The 23,053-nt window shown below is 37.6% G+C and overlaps 1 protein-coding gene across 3 annotated transcripts in view, besides 2 other annotated features; it reads right to left on the reverse strand.

Annotated features, from left to right (window-relative positions):
• Positions 1–22,689, reverse strand: part of SEMA3C (semaphorin 3C) — a 179,852-nt gene extending 157,163 nt beyond the window's left edge. Inside the window, exons 1-3 of one of the 3 annotated variants that reach the window (NM_001350121.2) lie at positions 19,128–19,351; positions 16,979–17,119; positions 6,129–6,216 (exon numbers count right to left, since the gene is read on the reverse strand). Coding sequence is in view for 2 of the 3 variants with exons in the window: in NM_001350120.2 (NP_001337049.1) it covers positions 16,979–17,119; positions 22,565–22,580 (157 nt within the window). In the remaining variant the exon portion in view is untranslated. Of the gene's footprint in view, positions 1–6,128; positions 6,217–16,978; positions 17,120–19,127; positions 19,352–22,564 lie in introns of those variants that run through there. The other 2 variants (NM_001350120.2, NM_006379.5) reach the window with 2 other exon arrangements.
• Positions 18,871–18,940: an enhancer, noted in NCBI's record as "active region_26210". NCBI's record gives its function as "activates an Ori minimal core promoter by ATAC-STARR-seq in GM12878 lymphoblastoid cells {active_cell/tissue: GM12878}" and the evidence as "EXISTENCE:reporter gene assay evidence [ECO:0000049][PMID:35858748]".
• Positions 19,488–19,617: a silencer, noted in NCBI's record as "silent region_18334". NCBI's record gives its function as "represses an Ori minimal core promoter by ATAC-STARR-seq in GM12878 lymphoblastoid cells {active_cell/tissue: GM12878}" and the evidence as "EXISTENCE:reporter gene assay evidence [ECO:0000049][PMID:35858748]".

Here is a 23,053-nt window from a genome sequence, read left to right on the forward strand (position 1 = left end):
TCTTCTCAGCCCCCATCAGTCCTTGCCAGATCCTCTGACATTTCAAGAAAAAATGAGAAATAAAGACTGTCAACTGAAGTCTAATTCTTAAATGTTAGCAGCTGATTCATTTTTAAATATTATATGAACCAAGACTATCCTTTTCTAGGCTAGTGACAAGTTTTCTACTTCTATATTAATATTTCTTAATATACCCAGACAATACATTTCTTCAGGGTAGGGAGTCTATTCTAGTTATCTTTTAAAATCTGTGTAAATTTAAGGGATACAGGTGCAGTTTTGTTACATGGACAGACTGCAAAGTGGTGAAGTCTGGGATTTTCACATAACTGTCACTCATATAGTGTACATTATACCCATTAATTCCTAGTCATCTTTTAATTTCCTCACTTTATATAATCTTACATTTAGTATGTTTTTTTTTTTTCTTTGAGACGGAGTCTCGCTCTGTTGCCCAGGCTGGAGTGCAGTGGCACCATCTCAGCTCATTGCAAGCTCCACCTCCCGGGTTCACGCCATTCTCCCGCCTCAGCCTCCCGGGTAGCTGGGACTACAGGTGCCCGCCACCACGCCTGGCTAATTTTTTGTATTTTTAGGAGAGACGGGGTTTCAACATGTTAGCTAGGATGGTCTCAATCTCCTGACCTCGTGATCCATCCACCTTGGTCTCCCAAAGTGCTGGGATTACAGGCATGAGCCACCATGCCCAACTACATTTAGTATGTTTTTACTGTGTGTCACATCTTGATAAGTGTTTTACACATATTACCTAATTTAATATTCACAATGATATTATCAGGTAGCAACTAATATTATCCTAATTGTATAGCCTAGTAAACAGTTGAGGAAGTTGAGGCAACTGCCATGAGTTACATGGCTAGTAAGTGGTAAAGCAAGATTTCACACTCATGCAGTCAGCTCCTGAGCCTGACCTAGGCTTTCTACATTTGCCTCAGCTAGCAGAGGTTGTGCAGAAGGGAATCAATTGTTTCCATTTTGGTTTGAACAAGGCAAAGATAAAGGTTGGGAGGGCCCATTCACTACTGGCCTGTAAATCGTGCACAGACTAAAAAGTAACTCTATATAACAAATGAATCACTTTCATGACTAGTTTATTGTACAACACTATAAATACTCCATCACCTTTTCTTCCTGTGTACTGCTGAGATAACAAAGAGAAAAGAATGAAGTATGGAAAATATGTAATTTGTGTTTTAAGGTGTGCTCCTTAGAACAGAAGATGTTGGATATATTGCCTGAATGGCTTAAAAATAAATTGGGAAATATTGTGCCATAACACCTCATTTTGTACATTGCACTAAACAGTTCTGGCATAACTGGATGGAGGAAATGAGTCACAGTTTTGCCTGTTGTACAGGGTGGTACAACGAATTACTGCATCTAATTTTGGTGGATGAACTCCAGAAATGAATTGGGAACATAAAGATTATAACAAAGTCAAATAATTTTTCCAGTTGTCAAGTTAGTTAGAATTAATAATTTTGGTTTTATCAACAATATTCTAAAACAAAAAATTAAGTAAATATCCTGTGAAAAATAAAAACTATCCTTGACTATGTGATTCAACGATTTACTGATGTGGCTATTTTAGTGTTGTCCAGAAGTAATTTCCATTAGGCAAAACAATTTTTCTTTGTTCCATCCAGGGAAGCACCACAGCTGTGAAACTCACATTTTGACACACAGAGAGTTGTAGTCTTACAGTTTCCTAAATCAGATATTGATATTTTACACCTGCAACTATATCCTAAGCATTTCTTACTTGTCAGTTACTTCACTGTATCTATATACTTTGCAAAACTTACCGCCAAGTGCTAAGTAGTAGAAGCACACTACATTTAATCACTTCTTTCAAAGGGAAAATGTATCTTTCCATTAAAGATCAATCAGTAAAGTTGTAGGTAGAAGCTTGGAATCAGTATCTTTGTTTTCTGTGACTACAATTTTAAAAATACACAATGTCCTAGAATATCATCTGCTGTTTCATTTCATAAAATAGTTGTCTAATTTTCTTATCTTGCCTAAAGGGCATCCAATGAGTAACATGTGTGTCTCTGACTTTGCCCATATTAGGTATATTGTACATTATAAGGTATTAAATTTATACCTCCCACAAAAAAGTTATTTTTCCTTTTTTTCTATAATGAAAGACATTATATTGATGCACTAAAACAAAGAATGTTATAAGCTGTTGATAAAGGCCATGTAAAGTTTTTCAATTCATGTTGTTTGGGTTTTTTTGTTGTTGCTTTTGAGACTGTCTCGCTGTCACCCAGGCTGGAGTGCAGTGGCGCTATCACAGCTCACTGCACTCTTTGCCTCACAGGCTCAAGTGATCCTCCTACCTCAGCTTCCTGAGTAGTTGGGACTACAGGTGTGCACCACCGCACTCAACTAGTTTCTGTATGTTTTGTAGAGAAAGGATTTTACCATGTTACCTAGGCTGGTCTTGGACTCCTGGACTCAAGCTATCTGCCCACCTTGGCCTCTCAAAAGGTTGGGATTACAGGTGTGAGTCACTGCACCTGGGCTTCATGTTGTTTTAATAAGAACAAGTAAAGATGACATATCCTTTCTAGCCAACACTGACAATTTTCATAGTCCCTAAGTACTCAATTTGTGTTCTGTTTATTACTGACCTGTCCATAAGACTTCTTATTTCTACCTCCTATCAGTTACACAGTTTTTTCCCTACAAATTTTTTCAATTGTAAATATGTAGCTATGTTTATAAGCAAATGAAAGCATCTAACTGTGCATATTAAAACAAAGTTAATCTCTCATATAGCTAAAGAAAAATTATGTTCCGGAAAAAGCACAAATATTAAATTGATCACATAAACAACTATAAATTTCCATGGTCCAATTTTTCAACTATCCATGTATTTAAGACTAACTAACATCAATGATTCATTTAAAACCAAAACACATGTCGTCATGATATCACAACATCACACTAAAATAATATATGATTTGTAACTCATAATAGCAGGGGCAGTCTTGTTCCCATTTCCAGGCTCCAGTGAAGTTTCCACTATTCCTCAATGAAATCCCAGGTTTATTTCTAGAGGCCCATGGGTATTTACACTTTTCCTTGTGTGTTGTTGAGTATACCAAAACAGAACTGCCAGCCATTAGCCCATGGCTTTTCTGCCTACGTGAAAACAGCAGGATTATAGTACAAAGGGCAGAGACCTAAGCCAAGATTATGTGCTAAGAAGAACGGTAAGAGCATAAGCCCGCTGAATTACTGGCACCTTATGATCCTGGAACTGAGAGCCCTGACAGGGTTTGATCCACTATTTTGGTTCTTTCTGCTCTACCTCTGCCCATCCCTCCTAATGCAGATAAAATTCATTCATTCTTTCACTTTCAAGTATTTGCAGTCACGCATCCCTTAACAATGAAGGTATGTTCTGAGTCATTAGGCAATTTTGTCATTGTGCGAACATCATATATTTAACTTATACCAACCTAGGTGGATCTCTTACTACACACCTAGGCTATATGCTATAGCCTACTGCTCCTCAGTACAAACCTGTACAGCACGTTACTGTACAAAATTCTGTAGGTAACTGTAACACAATGGCATTTGTGTATCCAAACATATCTAAACATAGAAAAGGTACAGTAAAAATGTAGTATAATAATCTTATGGGGCCAGGCACAATGGCTCACGCCTGTAATCCCAGCACTTTGGGAGGCTGAGGCAGGCAGATCACCTGAGGTCAGGAGTTCAGGACCAGCCTGGCCAACATGGTGAAACCCCCGTCTCTACTAAAAATACAAGCACTAGCCAGGCATGGTGGCACATGCCTATATTTCCAGCTACTCAGGAGGCTGAGACAGGAGAATCACTTGAACCCAGGAGGCAAAGGTTGCAGTGAGCTGAGATCACGCCACTGCACTCCAGCCTGGGTGACAGAGCAAGACTCTGTCTCAAAAAAATTAAAAATAAATCTTATGAGACTACCATAATACATGTGGTCCTTCTCAATGGAAACATCATTATGCAGTACATTAGTGTGTTAAGTATCTACTACGTATCACACATCATTTAAAAGGCTAAAAAAAATGATATACAAGGAAACAAATGTAAAGAGCCAGAACCTGTTCCCACTTCCACAAGTGACATATTTTTGTGAGTGACAGGAAGCCTTCCCTATCTTCTACTTCCACTCCCCTACCCCTACCACCACTATAGCTTCTTCATCTTTTAGAAAGTCTATTATCCCACCATTAGACACAGAGGGCATCTATTGCACAAACCTGTATTTAATCCCCTATATGTTAGGCCTGATGATGTAACCTAAAGGCCTATTTAATTTTATTTTATTTGAGACAGAGTTGTGCTCTGTTGTCCAGGCTAGAGTGCAGTAGCAAGATCTCGGCTCACTGCAACCTCCACCTCCTAGGTTCAAGTGATTCTCATGCCTCAGCCTCTCCAGTAGCTGGGACTACAGCCGTGCACCACCATGCCTGGCTAATTTTTGTAATTTTAGTAGAGACTAGATTTCACCATGTTGGCCAGGTTGGTCTCGAACTCCTGGCCTCAAGTGATCCACCCACCTCAGCTCTCCAAAGTGCTGGGATTACAGGCATGAGCCGTCACACCTGGCCTAAATACCTTTTCATGTTGTTGAGATTCTTACAGATATGTCATTATGTTTCAAAATACAAAGGATATAGAAAATAGAACACAATTTTCTAAATCATGGCTTTGAAATGGATCTTCACATTCCACACAGAGTAAGTGAAGGGTATTTGTTCACTCTTAATGGGTTGTAGCCACTCAAACTGCGTTACCACTACACTGATGATGATTTACCTGGCTTTGAGAATCTCAACTGTTGAGTAAGGGGGCTAAACTTTAATTTTTAGTAACGATTGCAGCCTGAAAACTGCTAGAACACTAGATTGAATAGTGTTCTCTTTTATTATTAAAAGGAGTTCCCTGACACTTTCATGTTGTGTAACAGAAACTGCATTTTAGGGATTGGGGGAAGTGGTTTCTAAATATGGCAGTAGGTTAAAGTCACCTGGACAGTTTTACAACACTAGTGTCATCCCTAGAGATAGTGACTGAATTGGTCTGGGGTGTGGCCTTGGCATCAGCATTTTTTAAAGCTTCTAGGTAACGTACAGCCAAGGTTGAGAATCACTGCCCTAGGGTCTCAGGTTTAACCTTACCAGTCATTCCAAAAATTCAGAATTACAGTTTCTTTTTCCTGAATTTTCAGAATCTTAGCGCTAACTTTCTAACTTCAAGCCTTGTGGCCCTATAATAGGGTGGCAAACTGCTGATGAAAATGAAAGCACAGAGAAAAAAAAAAGCTTTTGAACTCTGGGTATGAAATCTGTCAAGAAAGACATTTCTTGAGGTAATGTTGTTTTGAACTCCTGATATTTAAAATAGCCTCTTTCATGCCTTTGCTGCAACCCTCAATTATGGCCATTTTTTTTTTTTTTTGAGGAGGTGGGAAGAGGGAGGTAGGGAGAGACAGGGAGAGAGAGGGAGAGAGAGGGAGAGATAGGGAGAGAGAGGGAGAGAGAGGGGGAGAGAGGGGGAGAGAGGGGGAGAGAGGGGGAGAGAGGGGGAGAGAGGGGGAGGGGTGGAGAGAGAGAGAGAGAGAGACACCAAGACCCCTACCACCACCACAGACAGTTTAGGATTTTAAATGCTCAGGGCAGTTGGATTTAATTTGACGATTAGAAGTCAGCCTGTTTGTCAGTTATCAGTCAGGCAGTCATAATGACTCTGCACAGTTACAGGCACTGTTGGGAATTTGGAGGTAAAGAAAACAAAATCAGCAAAAGCATTTTGCCCCAGAGGCCGGGAGACTCCTGCAATAAGTGTAAGTGCAATAAGCTCATCCCGGGCATTCCAGCTTAATTCCCCTCTCCATTCAGTTTGTAACTATGATAAAGCTAATCCCTGCTAGCAAAATGATTAATGCCTACAATGGGTTTAAAGCTGATGCTCTAAACTAGTTTAAGATAATTTTTGCTTTTAAAATGTCACCTTCTGTGAGGTGTCTATGCTTCTTTTATGGTATGCAGCAGGGTTTGCCTGGTGTAATATTTACATGGTTGGCTTATGCCACTTACTAGAGTAGGTGGTTGCTGAGGACCAAATTCACGCCACACTTCTTTTTGTACCCACAGATGTAGCACACAGCATTGTACAAGGTAGGCTCTGGAAAAGAGTCATGGAATTGAATGTAATTTTGTTTTGTTTTTTTTTTAACTGAATAATAAAACCTCTTTGTAAGGAAGCTGGGTGAGTAGAGAGCAAAAGAAGGAGAGACAGATGGACATAACAAGCTTTACAAAAGGGCCTAAAAGCTTTTTTTCTCTTATCGATCCATAATTCACCAACAATCAATTCTAACTAGATTTTCCTGCTTCCACTGGAAGATGAACAAAATTTCTATTGTTGGAACTTCATACAGATACGTATGTATCTTGAAAAATGTCTATGCTATTAAGGGACCTCAGCAAATTTATCTTTAGTTATTAAAAATCTAATATTCTTTTTACCCAGAAGCAATATTAGAAAAGGTTGCAACTATGCTTTACTATCAAATATTGTAAAATTTGGAAACCGAAGATGGTTATTGCAGAGGTAATTTCATCTAAGTGCTCATGGCACTGAATTTCATCTCCATAGCACAAATAAATGACACATCTTAACTCTCGGCCACCTTTAACTACATTCCTGCTACACATTCCATCAGCACCTGGGCTCTGAAGCTTTCACCATTTCATGAATAATTCCAGACTAAGCTTGATCATCTTTTTCTCATGTCAGTAAAAAAGAAGAGAAAAAAAAGAGAGGGAAGAAAGGAAAACAAATACAAGAGATCAATTGCTAGATAGTATATTTTATAAGTCTCTAGTGTAGTATCTGAAATGTCTACATATAATTATGCGTATTAAAAGTGTTGAATACATTATCAGAAGAGTAGAAGGTAGATGTCAGAAGAAATATACCAGTGTAGATCATTATAAAATATTCTATGCAGACAAGCTGTTGAAAATAAAAACATTATAAAAGGAATACTATAGATATAAGGGGAGAGGCAAGCATTTCCTTTCACCTAAAACCAGAATATTTCATTATTCTGTAGCCAAGCGGTAGGGGCTGCTTTTTCTTCCACAAAGTAAAGCTTACTGAATGCTTTTTCTTCTATCATAGAAAATTGATTATACCACTGTTGTCAATATAATTAAATGAATAACCAAAGGTTATAATACTAGCATATAGAACCCTTTGCTTACTGTACTTTAGATATCAAAATAGAAAATACAGCTGCATAGTTCATATTCATTATCAGTTTCCTCTGAAAAAATGTACATAATTAGATTTTTACACAAAAGTTTTAAAACTCCAGTCACATCAGCAGGTTTTGACTACTAATGGAAAATGGAATTGATGCAATTATGTGAAACAGTGGCAGGAAGCATGGCTTTTAAAAGAATCAGCTTAAAGAAAAAAAATTCCAGTTGCATGTGCATTAAAGCTGTCAAAACTCTAAGCTAAAGATCCGCTCTCTGTGCCAGCTAAACCCCTGCCCGACTCCGGAAAGTAACTTTCTGAAGCCATGCCAAGCCCTCTGCTTGAAAATAACATCTTAATTGGTTTCTTCTAATAAAATTCAAAATGCTCTTTTGGTGATGATAATACACTCATTGTTTTATTCCTGCTTAATGTTCTGGTCTCTTGGAATGTTTTGAGCATTACTGTTCAGGAGAAAGGAAAAAGCCCTTGAGCCTGAATTTATGGAGCGACAATCTGGCTGGATGGACCAACAAAGTTGGAGGCTTTTGATGCCAGAAAGATTGTTTTTATAAACAATCTATAAGGGTGGTTCTATTTAATGTCAGATTCCTATATAATGGCAATGAGACTCCAATCTCTTCCTATTAACTGCATCATTAGTATGTAATAATGTTTAGTTGTGAATACAGAACTAGACTGTTTAGAGAATACTTAGGGCTCTGACTGGCAACTGACACAAATTAAATTATTCGATAATTCTTTTCAAATCAAGGGGTAATTTAAGTCATAAGGTTTTTCTTCTGCTTGAGTTATGATAACTAGCGTACATCTATCTACAAGGGCAGACATGTTATTTAAAAGGCTCCAACGTATCCACCATACCATATCTAAACTTCTGCATGCCTTATCATCCTGTTAAGTTTCTTTATTAAAAGTTGTTCAATTCAGGCTGTTGAATAGTTTGTTTACACATGGACTCTAATTATGTAACGAAATTCAATAGAAAAATATCATTTGTATAATATTTATACAAGCCAATTTTATAACCACTTTGCTACTACTCACTAATTCCATTAAACAAGAGATCCCTGTCTTAAGAATTATAGTTGCATTGGAATTGTCTTTTCACATGTAATAGTCTGTATCATTTAAAATAAACTGTGATCACATATATTATTTCTACTTGACTCAATTACAAGGAAGGTCAAGCAAGAATACTAGGACGTTCAACTCCCCTTACTCTCAGTTTCTAATTTTGTTACTGCTGTCTTAAAATCTTCAGACCCGTTGTGTTCACTATCAAATTTCAGCGATGAATGAAGTGCCAGCTTGGTGTACTTCACACAGTTTGTACAAAGTTATGTCTATTTACAAAAGAGAAAAGGTCTTTTCTAATTTAACTTTTGTGAAATGAGGATTTTGGAAAACTGAAGCACATAATTAAAGACTACATTTCATATGCTATAATTGAGATTCTGCTCGCTCTTTGGCAACTGACGCTAACTATAGTAACACTAGCAACTTGGGTTGCAAGACTTCGCTGGCTGGAAAAAAAGAAAAGCAGGCGTAGAGAGCAAATTTAGGTACTTATCTTATTGATGCTTTACATATTATGTGCCCCATTGACTCCCTTTACATCCCCGTTATCTGTGCTAGGGATGGATTACTTCCTTTTTGCGGGTTGCTATTCAACAACTCATTTTGTTCTCACTATCACCAGCTGTCAGAAAAATGGGAGGGAGACAGGGCTCAAATTCACAAGTCACCAGAGTTTCTTGTCCTGGTCCTCAGCTTGCTTGCACTAAAAGCTGTCACTATATAAGTGTTACAATAATGTTTTAAGTAATAAAGTGTTCACCAAACTAATGATCCAATTATATAATTACAAATCTGTGGTTATTCATAAATTTAAAATAAGAAAACATATAAATAATGCATTTAAAATGATACCAGGAATACAACAGCTTTTTTCTGACTGAACAGTTTTTGTTATATGAATATACAAGAGAGTATACACTTAGGAAAGACTAAAACGGTATTCAAATATAATGTAATTTTACTCATAGACGATGTGAGTGTGTGTATGTGTGTGTGTGAGAGAGTTCTGCATTTATTTTTACTCAGATATATATCCTCTCTCCATAATTAATTCTATCTGTAGAAAGTCAAAATCTATAAGGAAATAAGTTTTTCCTAAAATAATTTAGAAGTTGCTTCTTCAGAGCTATTAATTCTACATAGAGTTAAGGTTTTCTTTCTGCTGGATCAACATTCTGTCTCCCTTCTCTGAGGAACAGAAATCTTCTGTAAAATTACATTGCTGTAACTCCCTGAGTTTATCTATTCCATATAGACTAGAGACTTTACATTAGCCATTATATTACAAATAAGGTTAAATATAAGAGCAATCTTGTATTCAAAATTCAAAGTCTGGTACCTGATCATTTTTATCAGAAAATAGTTGTACTAAGGTAGTAATTTAGAAATTAATTAGGTAGAATGTTTTATACTTTTATTATCAAGAATCTTAAATGCTAGCAAGCGTTAAAGTTGAGTAAGGCAAGAATATTTAGCATTTTCAGTGGCATCAGTTCAAACCAGAACATAAGATTACTTTAATGGATTTTTCACTCTAAGGCAATACATAAATGAGCAGAGTGGAATATTCTAGGGATTGACTAAGGGGAATATGGAATCCTGATGTACATAGCACATCAAACGAGCTCTTGATTACAAGAGCAGTAACTTGGGGAAGGAAAGACAAGACTAGTATGTTCATTAATTTGCATGAATTAGAGATAAATGAAAATATAAATTATTCTTATTTATGTATTGCCTCAATCTTCGCAAAGAGAATTGAGAGGCACTTAAAATATGGTGTTGAACAGATTTAAAGCCTGATATATAATGATCCTCAAATTACTGCTGAAAATCAGCAGTTAATTAAAAATGTAAGGTATGTTAAAGCTACAGTGTTGTACATACTTGGAGAAGAAATATCATGAAGCAAGTTGTTAATACTCATATTAATAGCCTTGCATTTCTGCAGATTTTGTAACATACATTTGCAGGGTATCTCTGATTCTATACAAGCACTGCTCATAATTAATTTTTCTCTTCTTATACCATTTTGTCTTCTAGTCTTGTCAATGCCACCATTAAGCTGTAGAACCTTAACCAAGAGCTTTAGCCTCCATGCCAATTTACTTCATAGGCATTCTATAATAAATTAAATAATAAGGGAATTATTTGAAAAGTAAAAAGCATTTTACAGAAGTAACATATCCCTATTGAGAGCTTAAAGACAGCTCATTCTCATTGGATAAGGAGGATGGGTTGAAATGATTGTTTCTGAAAAGCCTGCAATTTAAAACGTGGAACATACTTGCCATCTTTTACAGCTCAGCAAATTGTTTCATGGCTAGTGCTACCCTAAAATAGCACATGGCTCAGCACTTAGTTCTACCTTCCATGTGCCCTTCTTGCTAACTCATACTCTGAGCTACAGAACATCTTACCTTTCTGTTCCTTGCCTTTAAATGTGTTTTCCTTAACAACAGAGGTCTTCAGTAATATATAAATGAAAATGCAGAAGGCAAAAAAGTGCTGGAATCTGCCCAAAGCTCACAGCTCTATTTCCCAATGCTCGTTCTTTTTTTTTTTTTTTTTAACAGTAATGGAACTAAAACCAAAGTGATAGTTCTTTATTATAGCAAAGTGATAGTTTTTTTATTTAAAATAAGTTATTTTTTACAACCTCCTTATATAAAAGATGTTTATGAAAGAAAAAATTGAGTGTGTCTCGGTGCCATTTTTTTAATGCAATGAATGATATCCATGAAAAAGAACATCTGAATCTTTTGTTTTAAAAGACAGTGCAAGGTATAGTGAATTTATGGAGATACATCCTGATAAATTTGCATAATGAAATGAGGAGAGTGTATAATAATTTTTTTCTACTGTTATCCATCTAAGCACTGACTTGCTCGCATAGGCACAAAGGGAGATCTCAGTTACAGCAACAAAATAAACATGTTCCAGAGAGGTAATTCCCCTCATCTTCACCTTGATGAATCATAAATTAAAGGGGGAATTTGGGATGATATAGGGAATGAATTTTATTTCATTTTCAGGCAGGTTTGATGTTCTAAGAGCAATGTAAAATTCTAGCATGACATAGTTAACATGATATGTTTACAGAATATCTTACTGAGAAAAATTCTTTTCCTTTTTCCTTTCATTGTGATCTTTGTGGATCTTAAAACTAATTCTCATGGCAGCTACAGAAATGGCTGCCACAAAGTCAGTATTAATGTTAGTGTTTAATTGCCAAAACTATTTTAGAAACAAAGAAGACAAAAAGTAGTATACACCTAGGAAGAATGCGAAAATGTATAACTTTGGTTCTAGATATATCTTCTGAATCAAAATTGCAAATAAAGGCTAAGTAACATCGTTTTATCAATATATGTGAACAACATATCAACATATATGATCAACATGTGAACAAATTTAAAATAAGCTATCTAGGATCACTTGCACCATCTTCATTTGATAAAGAGTTCAATTTAGTAAACATGTTTAGGCATGTCTATTAATTCATAGAATAGGACCTTTTTTTTTTTTTTTGAAAGAGAGTCTCACTCTCTTGCTCAGGCTGGAGTACAATGGCTCAGGCTGGAGTACAATGGCACGACCTCGACTCACTGCAAGCTCTGCCTCCCGAGTTTATGCCATTCTCCTGCCTCAGCCTCCCGAGTAGCTAGGACTACAGGTGGCCACCACCATGCCTGGCTAATTTTTTGTATTTTTAGTAGAGACGGGGTATCACCACGATAGCCAGCATGATCTTGATCTCCTGACCTCGTGATCCACCCGCCTTGGCCTCCCAAAGTGCTAGGATTACAGGCGTGAGCCCCCGTGCTCGACCACATTTTTTTTTAATGGAACCGCTGTGTTCGTATGACCGATTAACAAAACACTCAAGCTCACTCTTCTAACTTCAGAACACTAAAGCATTCCTTCTTTGCTCCCAATTGTAGGAACCTTGTAACTCTGAATGGCTTAACACAGAATATCATTTATTGGCAACAGAATCAAGCTTATTATAATCTGATGAAACTCACCTGGAACAGTAATTACTTTTTTAAACAGGAAAATATAGGCTTACACATTTTTCTAAAATTTTTTCTCTAGGAGAAATCCACAGCATATCAATGTAACACCTTTTATCCTAAAATTTTCAAGAGATGTTCTTTGCAATACCTGAAATAAAATTTCCTCCCTCCAATTCAAGTCTACTAGAAATATTATTTTATTTTGATTACCAGAGCCCTATATCAATACATATTACAGGGGAAAATAGACATACGAGGCTACATTTCTTAGCAATTCTTCTCATCTTCCATTGCAATTGTATTTTATAACAGTTTTTACCTTGCTGCTTTACAAATTTAGTGTTACTCTATTCTAGACTCATGTTTCAGGTAATGTCCAACTCACAAGTGAATTCATCAATCCTTTGCTGAGTTCAATTAAACTCTCACAAGGGGGAGAGTAGAAGGAACTTTTTATTCACAGAGCACCCCTTGAGTTTGGGTTTACTAAAACACTCATGTGTGCTTCAAGATATTTCAGTGACATTTAATTGAAACCATCATAAGGAGACTTAAAAGAAAATGCCATAACACACACCTGAGAACTAAATACTTCTCAGTAACACAAACCTGAGAAGATTCAATACACCCAGAGTAAGCATCTTCCAAGATTAACGGAGAAATCAAGAACAACTGCTTTTATTTTCATTTCTTGGGCAACCACAACAAAAACTATTTCAACAAACGTGCCTTGTAATGCTAATGCTACCAGAGCTCATAAAGAGGCAATTTATTATTTTCAGTTTATTGTCCAATAACAATTCATCAGCTTTGGGGCTTAGTTCATTAGTTCACAGGGATTCTTTTATTTGTTGAGGGTGATTTTAAAAGATGTTTTATAAAATTCCATAGTCTTTCATTTACATACTATCAAAGACCTGGAGACTTTGGCAGCTTTATTACTAAAAATTCAGCACACACAAAAGGGAAAATGAATCACAAAGTAAATAAATAAAACAGGGCCAGGCGCAGTGGCTCACGCCTGTAATGTCAACAATTTGGGAGGCTGAGACAGGCGGATCACCTGAAGTCAGGAGTTCGAGACCAGCCGGGCCAACGTGGTGAAACCCTGTCTCTACTAAAAGTACAAAAATTAGCTGGGCATGGTGTCGCACACCTGTAATCCCAGCTACTCGGGAGGCTGAGGCAGGACAATTGCTTGAACCCAGGAGGTGGAGGTTGCAGTGAGCCAAGATCTCACCATTGCACTCCAGCCTGGGAGGCAGAGCGAGACTCTGTCTCAAAAAAAAGGAAAAGAAAAAACAGGTAATCCTATGCAAGTCTAGTGCTTAGTCATAAAATACCTATTTCCAATTCAAAACTCACACTCAGTTTTCTGTTTTTAAACCACTGTCATGCATATGCAAATGTAAATTCAGCCATGGGCTGCAAGATTGGCCAATATTAACTAAGGAAAAACTTATACTAAAAGCATTTGTGTGAACCTTATATTCACTTGCAAAGCTATTTGGCATAAAATAAGAGTTAGACCAATTACAAAAGAAAATATTAGAAGTCACAGGTCTCAACATAGAAGATTTAAGTAGCACAAATGTAACTAATTAATAACATCTGAAGTACATTCTCCCACAGGACTGATGACCATCTGGTTGACCTTGCCCTAGATCAACAGGGAAGGCAAACCTGTAAATCACTGTTTTACAAATGTTATTACTCCATTATTTCACCACAAGAAAAAGGGATGGAACATGAATGGGAGAAGAGACTCATTGCTCTACACACCTTGAAATTGCCTATGATGCTTATTGCACCGGAAGTAACACAAGACTGAGTGGTTTCTTCTCAAGTTCCACCCAGAGAGAGACAGGCAGAGGACCAAGTTACAGTGATGGAGAAGAATTCAAGACAAAAGAGCCAGTAGGTAAAGTAATTACGAGAGAATCTAAAGGTACTTAGAGATATAAAACAAGTAATGCAAATGACCTCTGTCTAATACAACTTGAAACTATCTGAATTTCTGCAAAACACCTTTCAGTTGCTGATTTTTTATTGGAAAACAGTAATAGAACTTTAGAAATACGAACTAGAAGTATATGCCACATGTATTTAAATATATACTCTTAAATACATTAACCCCATACAAAGCTCTATATTTTGATGTTGAGAATAAACTACTTTGGAGGAAACTTAAAAACCTACTTGGTACAATAGTCAATGAGTCATCATTTGACTAATGAGAAACTTTAAATAATAATAAATTTGAACAGGCATTTCAAGCAGGTACACTGTGAAATCTCCTAAGAAAACTGTATTGAACCAAGGTTTAAAATTTGTACATTTTGACAACTGTTTTCGCCTGATACTTTCCCTATAACTTGTCTATGTAGTTCATTGTAGGAATGTTTAAAATTATTGAGTTACCAATCGTGCAATTTTATTAGATGTATTCTCACTGTTGATACATCTCTTTTAAACAGTATTCAAAACAAGTGATTTTCTATCTCTCTGATTATTTGCTCTGTTTTTCTCTCACTTCCTAAGAGTACCAGTAATACACCTGAGAAGAACAAAATATCAGGAATTATAGAACTTTGAGATCAACAACTCATGTCATATTCTACATAAGTTACAAATCAAGGCAAGTCTTATTCTGCAAGAATCTGTTTTAAGTTTGAGTGCATTTAAAATATTAGGCATATATTATTTTAAATCCCATCATTACTTCTAGTCACTGTATAGCATAGCTGTCACTGTCTTACACAGTTCTGAAGTCTGGTTCTAAAAGATTATACTATGTAATTTCCTTCTGTAAAATATGAATTGCAATTGCTTTTTCAAATACAGAATTGGTTCATTATCTCTAGTAACACACTTTTTGTTGATATTTACATTAGTTTGGATTAATTTTCATGTAATGGAAAAGAAAGCAGGTAGAGACATCTAATCTATTAGGTCACTCCATCTCTATATATACTAGGAGAAATATAGAAAATAGAGGGGAAATTGCACTACTTCTTAATGCCCTTTCTCTTTTATTTGAAAACGTATTTCATAGTTCTAACTTGGGAGGAAAAGTGTGGGTAGTCTGTAAGATGCTTTAGTAATTAAGGGGCTAAAAAGGATACCTCAAAGGGTCTGTTTTTCCATTCTTCACAACTTAACTGCATAGCTATGGGTTTTAAGGGGAAATGCCTTGCATGGAGGCTAAGGAAGCAATTAGAAGCTCACACATTCTAAGTTCCAAATATGGCTCCTTCGGTGCTTATGACAACCTTGGGGAAAGCACTGGTGACTTAAAAAGAAAAAAAGGACAGCCATTTGACTGGCAAGTGTCAGTCATTCTGCTATTTGAAATTTGAGGCCAGGCGTGGTGGCTCACCTCGGGAGGCGGAGGCGGGCAGATCACAAGGTCAGGAGATCGAGACCATCCTGGCCAACATGGTGAAACTCCGTCTCTACTAAAAATACAAAAATTAGCTCGGTGTGGTGGCACGCACCTGTAATCCCAGCTACTGGGTAGGCTGAGGAAGGAGAATGGCTTGAACCTGGGAGGTGGAGACTGCAGTGAGCCGAGATCGTGTCACTGCACTCCAACCTGGTGACAGCGTGAGACACTGTCTCAAAAAAAAAAAAAAAAAAAGGAATTTGAGACAAAGTTTCAGAGACACTCTGCTATAGAAAGGTCTGAGAATATATTGTTTATCAAATGAAAGAAAAAGTACTTGCAATGACACTAAAGTTTATGCAGAGTTGAAAGAAGTAATAAAATTATAAATGACCTTGATTGGCAGGATGGTGTTCCTCATCCATGTCTTGCTCCATCTGTCCAATTAGTATGGGTTACTTGACTAACCAAATTCATTCATCTGTAAGTCCTTTGAACTATATACATTAAAGCTCATGCAAACCATTCCCTCAGAAGACCTTGCACCTTTTATGTATGTGAAAATCTGAAATCACACCCATTTCCCTAAGCTTCTGAGAACATTTGTATACAACAACCATCAAAAGCATATTTCCAATTATTCTTTTAGGTCCTTTTCAATTAATTAGGGGACTATGCCAATCTCAGGAAATCCTTGTGGAAAAAGAAGAAACACCATTAGAACAACACACGGAGTAACCAGTTTTGAGACTAATGCCCAAAAAATTAATTGGGAGAATTTTTTAGTAATTGAACCTGCATAGCTCTCTCTGCTGCTGAGGATTAGCACAAAGGGGCAATTTCTTAACATTACCAGGTGAACAGTAAGATCAAAGATGCTAGGCTTTGAGCTCGTGCCCATCTCCTCTGTGAGTACACAGGCAAGCACAGAAGAATTATTTTACAAAAAGCAGCATATATTATAAGCATTTTCATAAATACCTCAAATCCAACAGAGGATCTTTGTCTATTAACCAATCATTTAAAATAGCTATTGTCCTCCAAAACGCAGCCCAGTAAATATTTTTAAAATTAATATCCAGTAATATTTATACTCTTAATTTCTGAATCTGGATAAGGAAGATAACAAAACTTAAAATAACATTTTTCCCAGAGTGTTTATCAACTCTCTTACCATCAAATGTTAAATAAACTCTTGCTTGGGGCTGGGAAGATCCTTTCACACAGATAGAACAAATAAATACTCCAACCAACACGCAAATTGTCCGGAATGCCATTTCTTCAGATATGCAAGTTAATATCCAAGGGAAAATACCTTTAAGAGAGAGACAACATGTTTGTTATATCTCATTTCACATTTTAGGAGTAGGAAAAAACAGCAATCTAGACAAAACACCCTATTCACAAAAGAACCATCTGAACTTTTACAGTAATGCAAACAGTAGGAGGTGCTGTGTCTTTGCTTCTCAGATGTGAAAATGTGGATTTGATTCATTTGTGTCTGGAAGTCTTTGCAACAAGAGAAACTTTCATCTTCCAGCAAATTGATGCTACCATCAAAACAGAACAAAGCAGTGAAGAAAAACACTGATACCCAAAGGAAAGCCCAATATTTTAACGGATCTTCTCTCTAGAAATCCATTACATTAAAAAGACTTGAATAGAATTGAGCTAAAAGAATATTACTGGATGAGAACTCTTTCCCCCCACTAACGTAACAGCAGCAGCAAAATCTCACATGAGCATTCATGTGTACCTACTCACTTCAATAGTCATTAGCTCTTTTGGAGTAATTGTCTCTGGAAGTGGTGTTTCCTTACATAAATCTATGTGTGCTCAATCCTGGATCACTGAAGTCACTGGAATCAGTTATCTGCCATTTTATCCAGATGACCAACAGGCAGTTGTTAAATGATGCAGTTGAAGTAACCATGGACTAGTGCCAAATTCAAACCAATGACCTAGTGGTGAGCAATCCAGTGAGCCATGTATCCACCAATGCATATTTTAAATAAATCAACCAGAATGTGGGCTGTCAAAATTCCCAAAGATAAATCAAAGAGACAGGTGTCACTGCTTCAAACTATAGATATAAAATTGGTACATGCTATTAACTAATATCTGAATCCCAAGGAAGACCAGATAATGTGTTACCATAAACCTACAGGAGCTCTAGTGGCTACATCATGTAAAATAAACTCAGGACCATTAAAGAAACACAATCATTTTGCTTCTACCATAATTACACAATAAAGTGACCCAAGAGTCCAGTAAAGAAATTTATTTTTACAGGTTACAACAATGCTGATCTTCATTATTTGGCTTTTCAAATTAAAATTTCATAGTCAAAATTATTAAATTCTTTGTAAGAACCACTAACAACTGAAAAAGACAGCTTCATTAATACAGAATAAAAAGAATTAAATGGAATATGCAATTTTAAACAAAAATTGTAAGTAGATTTCCTAGGTGGTGCATATGTTATGAGAGTTAGAAATGAAATTGTACGCTTCTTTTACCACACAGATGGAGGAAACTCTAGAGATGTTTGTGTTGGTAATTTTCAAAAGAAACAGTTTCTTCCTGCTTCCACAACCTCTTCACCCTGTCATCCCTAAATTAACTTAGAAAGAAACTGATTTTATGGGTGACTTTCCCTCAGTAATTTACCCCTTGGTTCTGTTGACTTCATAGTTAAAGCCAAAAGAAAAAAACTATTAATATGCCTAACCTTTGTTATGTTTACTGAGCAAGTTGATATTATTTACACATTTTTTTTACATATTGGTATCTTACCTTATATGTTTCTCCCAAAAGTACATATACAACCAATTGCAAAGAATACTGGTGATACAATGGCAGGTGAAACGAAGATAGTCTACAGGGCAATTTGATTTACATCCCACCTAGTGATGAGGAGTGAAAGACTGAAAGCCAAGTGTCTTAAATACACCCCCGCCTCCCCAACAGTATCTTACAACTTCTTCCCTTTAACTCAGACACAGACGTTCCTCTTGGTGTTTTCACTTCTGCTGATCGCAAACTAACAACACATTAAGAAAAGAATTCTCTTATCTCCTCTGGAGCAATTTTGCCTTTGAAGGCACTGTAATACTCAACTTGAAACTCTCCGCAGGTGTCACCGCCTAAAGAAACAACTCGAGCAGGGCTCTCAGCAAGGGGAAAGCTTCCCTGACAAACCGCGTGTGTTCTTAAGAAAATGTCCAGGCTTGAGCATACCAATGTATGAAAAATCAATATACAGGCCAAAAAAGTTATACTTTGCTAAATCTGTAATGCGGAAAATGACCAATTTAGCTTACCGAGGTTGAAAGAAATCAGCACGGAAAAGTCATCAGTTTGCTACCGGGGTTGGATGCGCTTGTGTCTCCAGTCCTTTTCCCAGACGACCTTATTTTCTAGCACGTCGCAAAGGTGAAATTCTTTCTTCCCGGTCCTCTGAGTTTCTTTGTAAAGGAATCTCAGCGCTGCAGTGCCGCGGCACCCGGAGCTCTTCTCCGCGTCGCTCAATCAAGCACCTCGGAGTGAATGGAAAGTGGCCGGAGGCCGGGGGCGAGCGCTCTTGGTGTCCGATTACAGCGCCGCGGCGCGCGGCTCCGGCTGCCCCGGCGCGCCGCCCTGCAGGCTCGCATCACCACCGCGCAGCCCCGGCCGCATCTCCGCCAGCCGCGAGGCCCCACCCCGAGCGCGCCCGCGAGAGCCTGGCAGGGAGCCGCGGGGGCGGACCGGGCGGGGCCGACCCTTAGAGCTCGCGGCTGGCCAGACGCAAGAATGCGCGGCCGCAGGCTGGAGCCCTAGCTCCGCAACCCTGCTCCTTTCGCAGTCCGCGGCGGAGTGAGCAACTTGCTGGGTGCGCTCCACGGTTTTTGTTGCCGGCGGCTCTCGAAGACTTACACAGGCTTTGCCTGGCCGTAAATATCAAAGTGCAAAGCAGTTGTGGTTTTTTATTTTTGCCAGGGAAGGATCACTGCAGCCTTTTAAGGCAAAGAGATGCGTTTTTAAAAGGACGTGAGTTTTGTCCTTATTCTGCTGCGTTTTTTTTTTGTTTTTTGTTTTTTGTTTTTTGTTTTGTTTTTGGAGAGGGAATCTCACTCTGTCGCCAGGCTGGAGTGCAGTGCAGTGGTGTGATCATGGCTCACTGCAACCTCCGCCTCCCGGGTTCAAGCGATTCTCCTGCCTCAGCCTCCTGAATAGCTGGGACTACAGGCTCCCACCACCACGCCCAGCTAATTTTTGTATTTTTAGTAGAGACAGGGCCAGGATGGTCTGGATCTCTTGACCTAATGGTCCGCCCGCCTCAGCCGCCCAAAGTGCCGAGAGCCACCGCGCCGGGCCTCTGTTGCGTGTTTTCTAAAACAGGTCAAGATAAACGACAATCTTGTTGCACAAGTGTATCCTTTTAATGGGTATTGTTTCCTATTGAGTTTCCTTAATGCCCTGAAAGCAGTAATTCTGTTGACCCCTCCACGTTGACTCATATCCAGTACGTTGTCCCCAACCATACTCCCAAACATAATTACACGAAGAAATTATTTGACAATTCTATGTGGAGAGGCTGTTCTGAGTTATGCCAACAGATTGCCATAACCACACATCTACAGAAATACATCAGAGGTATTTTTCCAGCATTACTTTCAGGTACACTCGTTAAACTCTGGAACTGACTTTGATGTTTAAGTGAAAATTACTTCTCCGGACCACAATAAACTAGATGTTTAAACATCGGGAGAAATGAGCTTTGATCCCCATAAAACAAGCAGGCACTTGCTTAAAATCACTGTGGGGCACAGCCCAGCAGATGTCACTCTACAGAAGGAACGTGGAGTGTAATATCTCCACCTTATACCTGACAATTCACATAATGAAACAATCATTAAATTCTTATAAACTGTATCATAGAAAACCCCTCTGGGGGTGCAAAATCATTGTTCAGTGGGAAAGTTGAATGAAATCTCAGGTAGGAGGAAGAGGTGAGTGAGACACATCTTTCATGTGTCTGGGGCCCACCTCTTGTGTTCAGTAAACATACACGTGTCTCAGACTCACGCTGCATAGTCAAGGAACGAAGGATCAAGTCAAATAATGCAAATTTATGAGTTCAAAAATACTATTCCAGGGCTAATATTATCTCCAAACGTCAAAAAATTAATATAGTAACAACAGTTAAAATTATTTTTTGTGATGATGCGTGAGAAGATCCTTGACATAAATTTGTAATAAGGAATTTAACCCCCCAAAAACTGACAATATTAAAATCCAGATGTCAATGTGAATAAGCACTGTGCGTGCTTCTCTGAAATACTTCTGAAACTGAGTAAGATCCAGGTTATATACTCTCCACTATTATCCTCCTTCTGATATCTCATTCGGCATTTATATATTAAGCAGGGAGAAGAATAAATCATTAGAAAGATGAGTGTGTGGATTAAATTAATTTAGAAATGTGGAGCTGTTAGAAATTGATCAGCAAATTCACGTAAGATGGAATTCGTTTATACATTTTAAGTTTGAGAAAACCACGATAAAGAGTTGCAAGATGAAATGCATCTCAAACGGTGTATTTACAAAGGAGCTTAATTCCAAACTCAATTTACAAACACCAATGAATTAGCTCAATCTGTTACACATTCAGGGGTTTGGAGGCCTTGACAAATAGCTTAGATTTAATCACAGCCCATGAAATTTGTGCCGAAATTCCCTCAATATTGCTCAAATAAACCTCTTTTCAATGTGCTCCTGGGATTTAATGGTATTTGCTTAGCTCTGAGACGTTTACAGTTGGCCACACCTCAAAATGAATCATAAAAATACTGATAGGCTTTAGCCAAGATAGATTCAAGCGCAAGGACACAGTGCTCATGCTTGCCAGAGACTTAGGCCACAGAGTGGAATTTTAACAGTGGCACTAGAAGCCCCTAAGATTAATCTCTGCCCACATTTCCCCACACTGCTTAAAACACCTTGACAAAACAAGACTTGCCTAAGAAACATTTCTGGGCACTACCACTTTTTTAAGACTTCAGCTTTGACTGTCCTTACAAGTGGAAAACAACAGCTAATTGAGAACGCTGTTTTCGGTAAGGGGGACACTAAATGGATCTACAGGAGTAGTGGCACAACTAAATTTAGAGAGCACTAATTACAATGTTTGCACCCAGCAAAACGTTTCAGACGAGCGGCCAAACTAAAATACTTAGGATAACTTTTATTAAGACGTTTTAGAAATGGTGCAGTATCTTACACACTGAAGTGTCTCTGCCTGCCAAGGTGTAGTGGGCATATTTTTAATATTTTATGTTTTTGATGGTCCTGAGGAATGCTATTTAACTTAAAACTCTAGCACCGATGTTGAGTTACATACTTTTCTCCAGGAGTTTCTGCAGCTATACATTATCTTATTTCAAATTTAAAGAAAACAGATTTTTCCCTATTATACAGATGAGTCATGTAAATAAACTTTACCCTAACCAGAGAATATTAATCATTCAGAGGTTAAAAATTGTCTTATTATTTAGTCATAAAAACTGATATTTGTAATAGAAAATAGATTGTGTATTTGCGAGGTACTTTGCTTATTATCTGCATAGCATTCTTTAATGAAGTTACAATTTTCAATGAGAGAACGTTGAAGGTTTGCCCAAAGTCAAATGGGTAGTAAATATCAGAATAGGAAGAGAAACTCAAGCGTGATTGCCGTAATGTCTCAGGTTTTTCAATAAGTTTCAATACTTCCTCTTACCTTTTTTGCTTAACATTTTTCTCCTCTTTTCTACTTCCCTCTCTTTCTCCTTCACTCAACTTCCATATGCCATCCTTTTAAGTTTCCTGAACTGTATCTTTGGAAAGTCTCAACTTCCAATGGTTACTTACTTTATTTACATCAGCCTTACGTCTCCTTGGGTTACATTAGCAGCTCTGAGACCAAGCCGGTCAAACAGGTCTGGTCTAGAAATCTGTGTGTGAAACTGCTACCTGCACAGCAAATAGGCTTTAATATTTCCTCTATCAAATCATTTCTAATTTTTCAATAAGATGAGTGTATCTCTATTTTCATTCTTAATCTATTGCTAATCTGTATTGCTGACTGTTTTTTCTCTGTTGATATGTACCACTCTATGCTTCTCAAATTGTAGGGTTCTTGACATTAAACAAAATAAACTGGCAACAGTGGTTTGCTCTGGAGAGGAAAATTGGCTAGAAAGGTTTCATGGTTCACTCTGTTTTACAT

Source organism: Homo sapiens, chromosome 7, assembly GCF_000001405.40.
Source record: "Homo sapiens chromosome 7, GRCh38.p14 Primary Assembly".
NCBI classification, from domain to species: domain Eukaryota; kingdom Metazoa; phylum Chordata; class Mammalia; order Primates; family Hominidae; genus Homo; species Homo sapiens.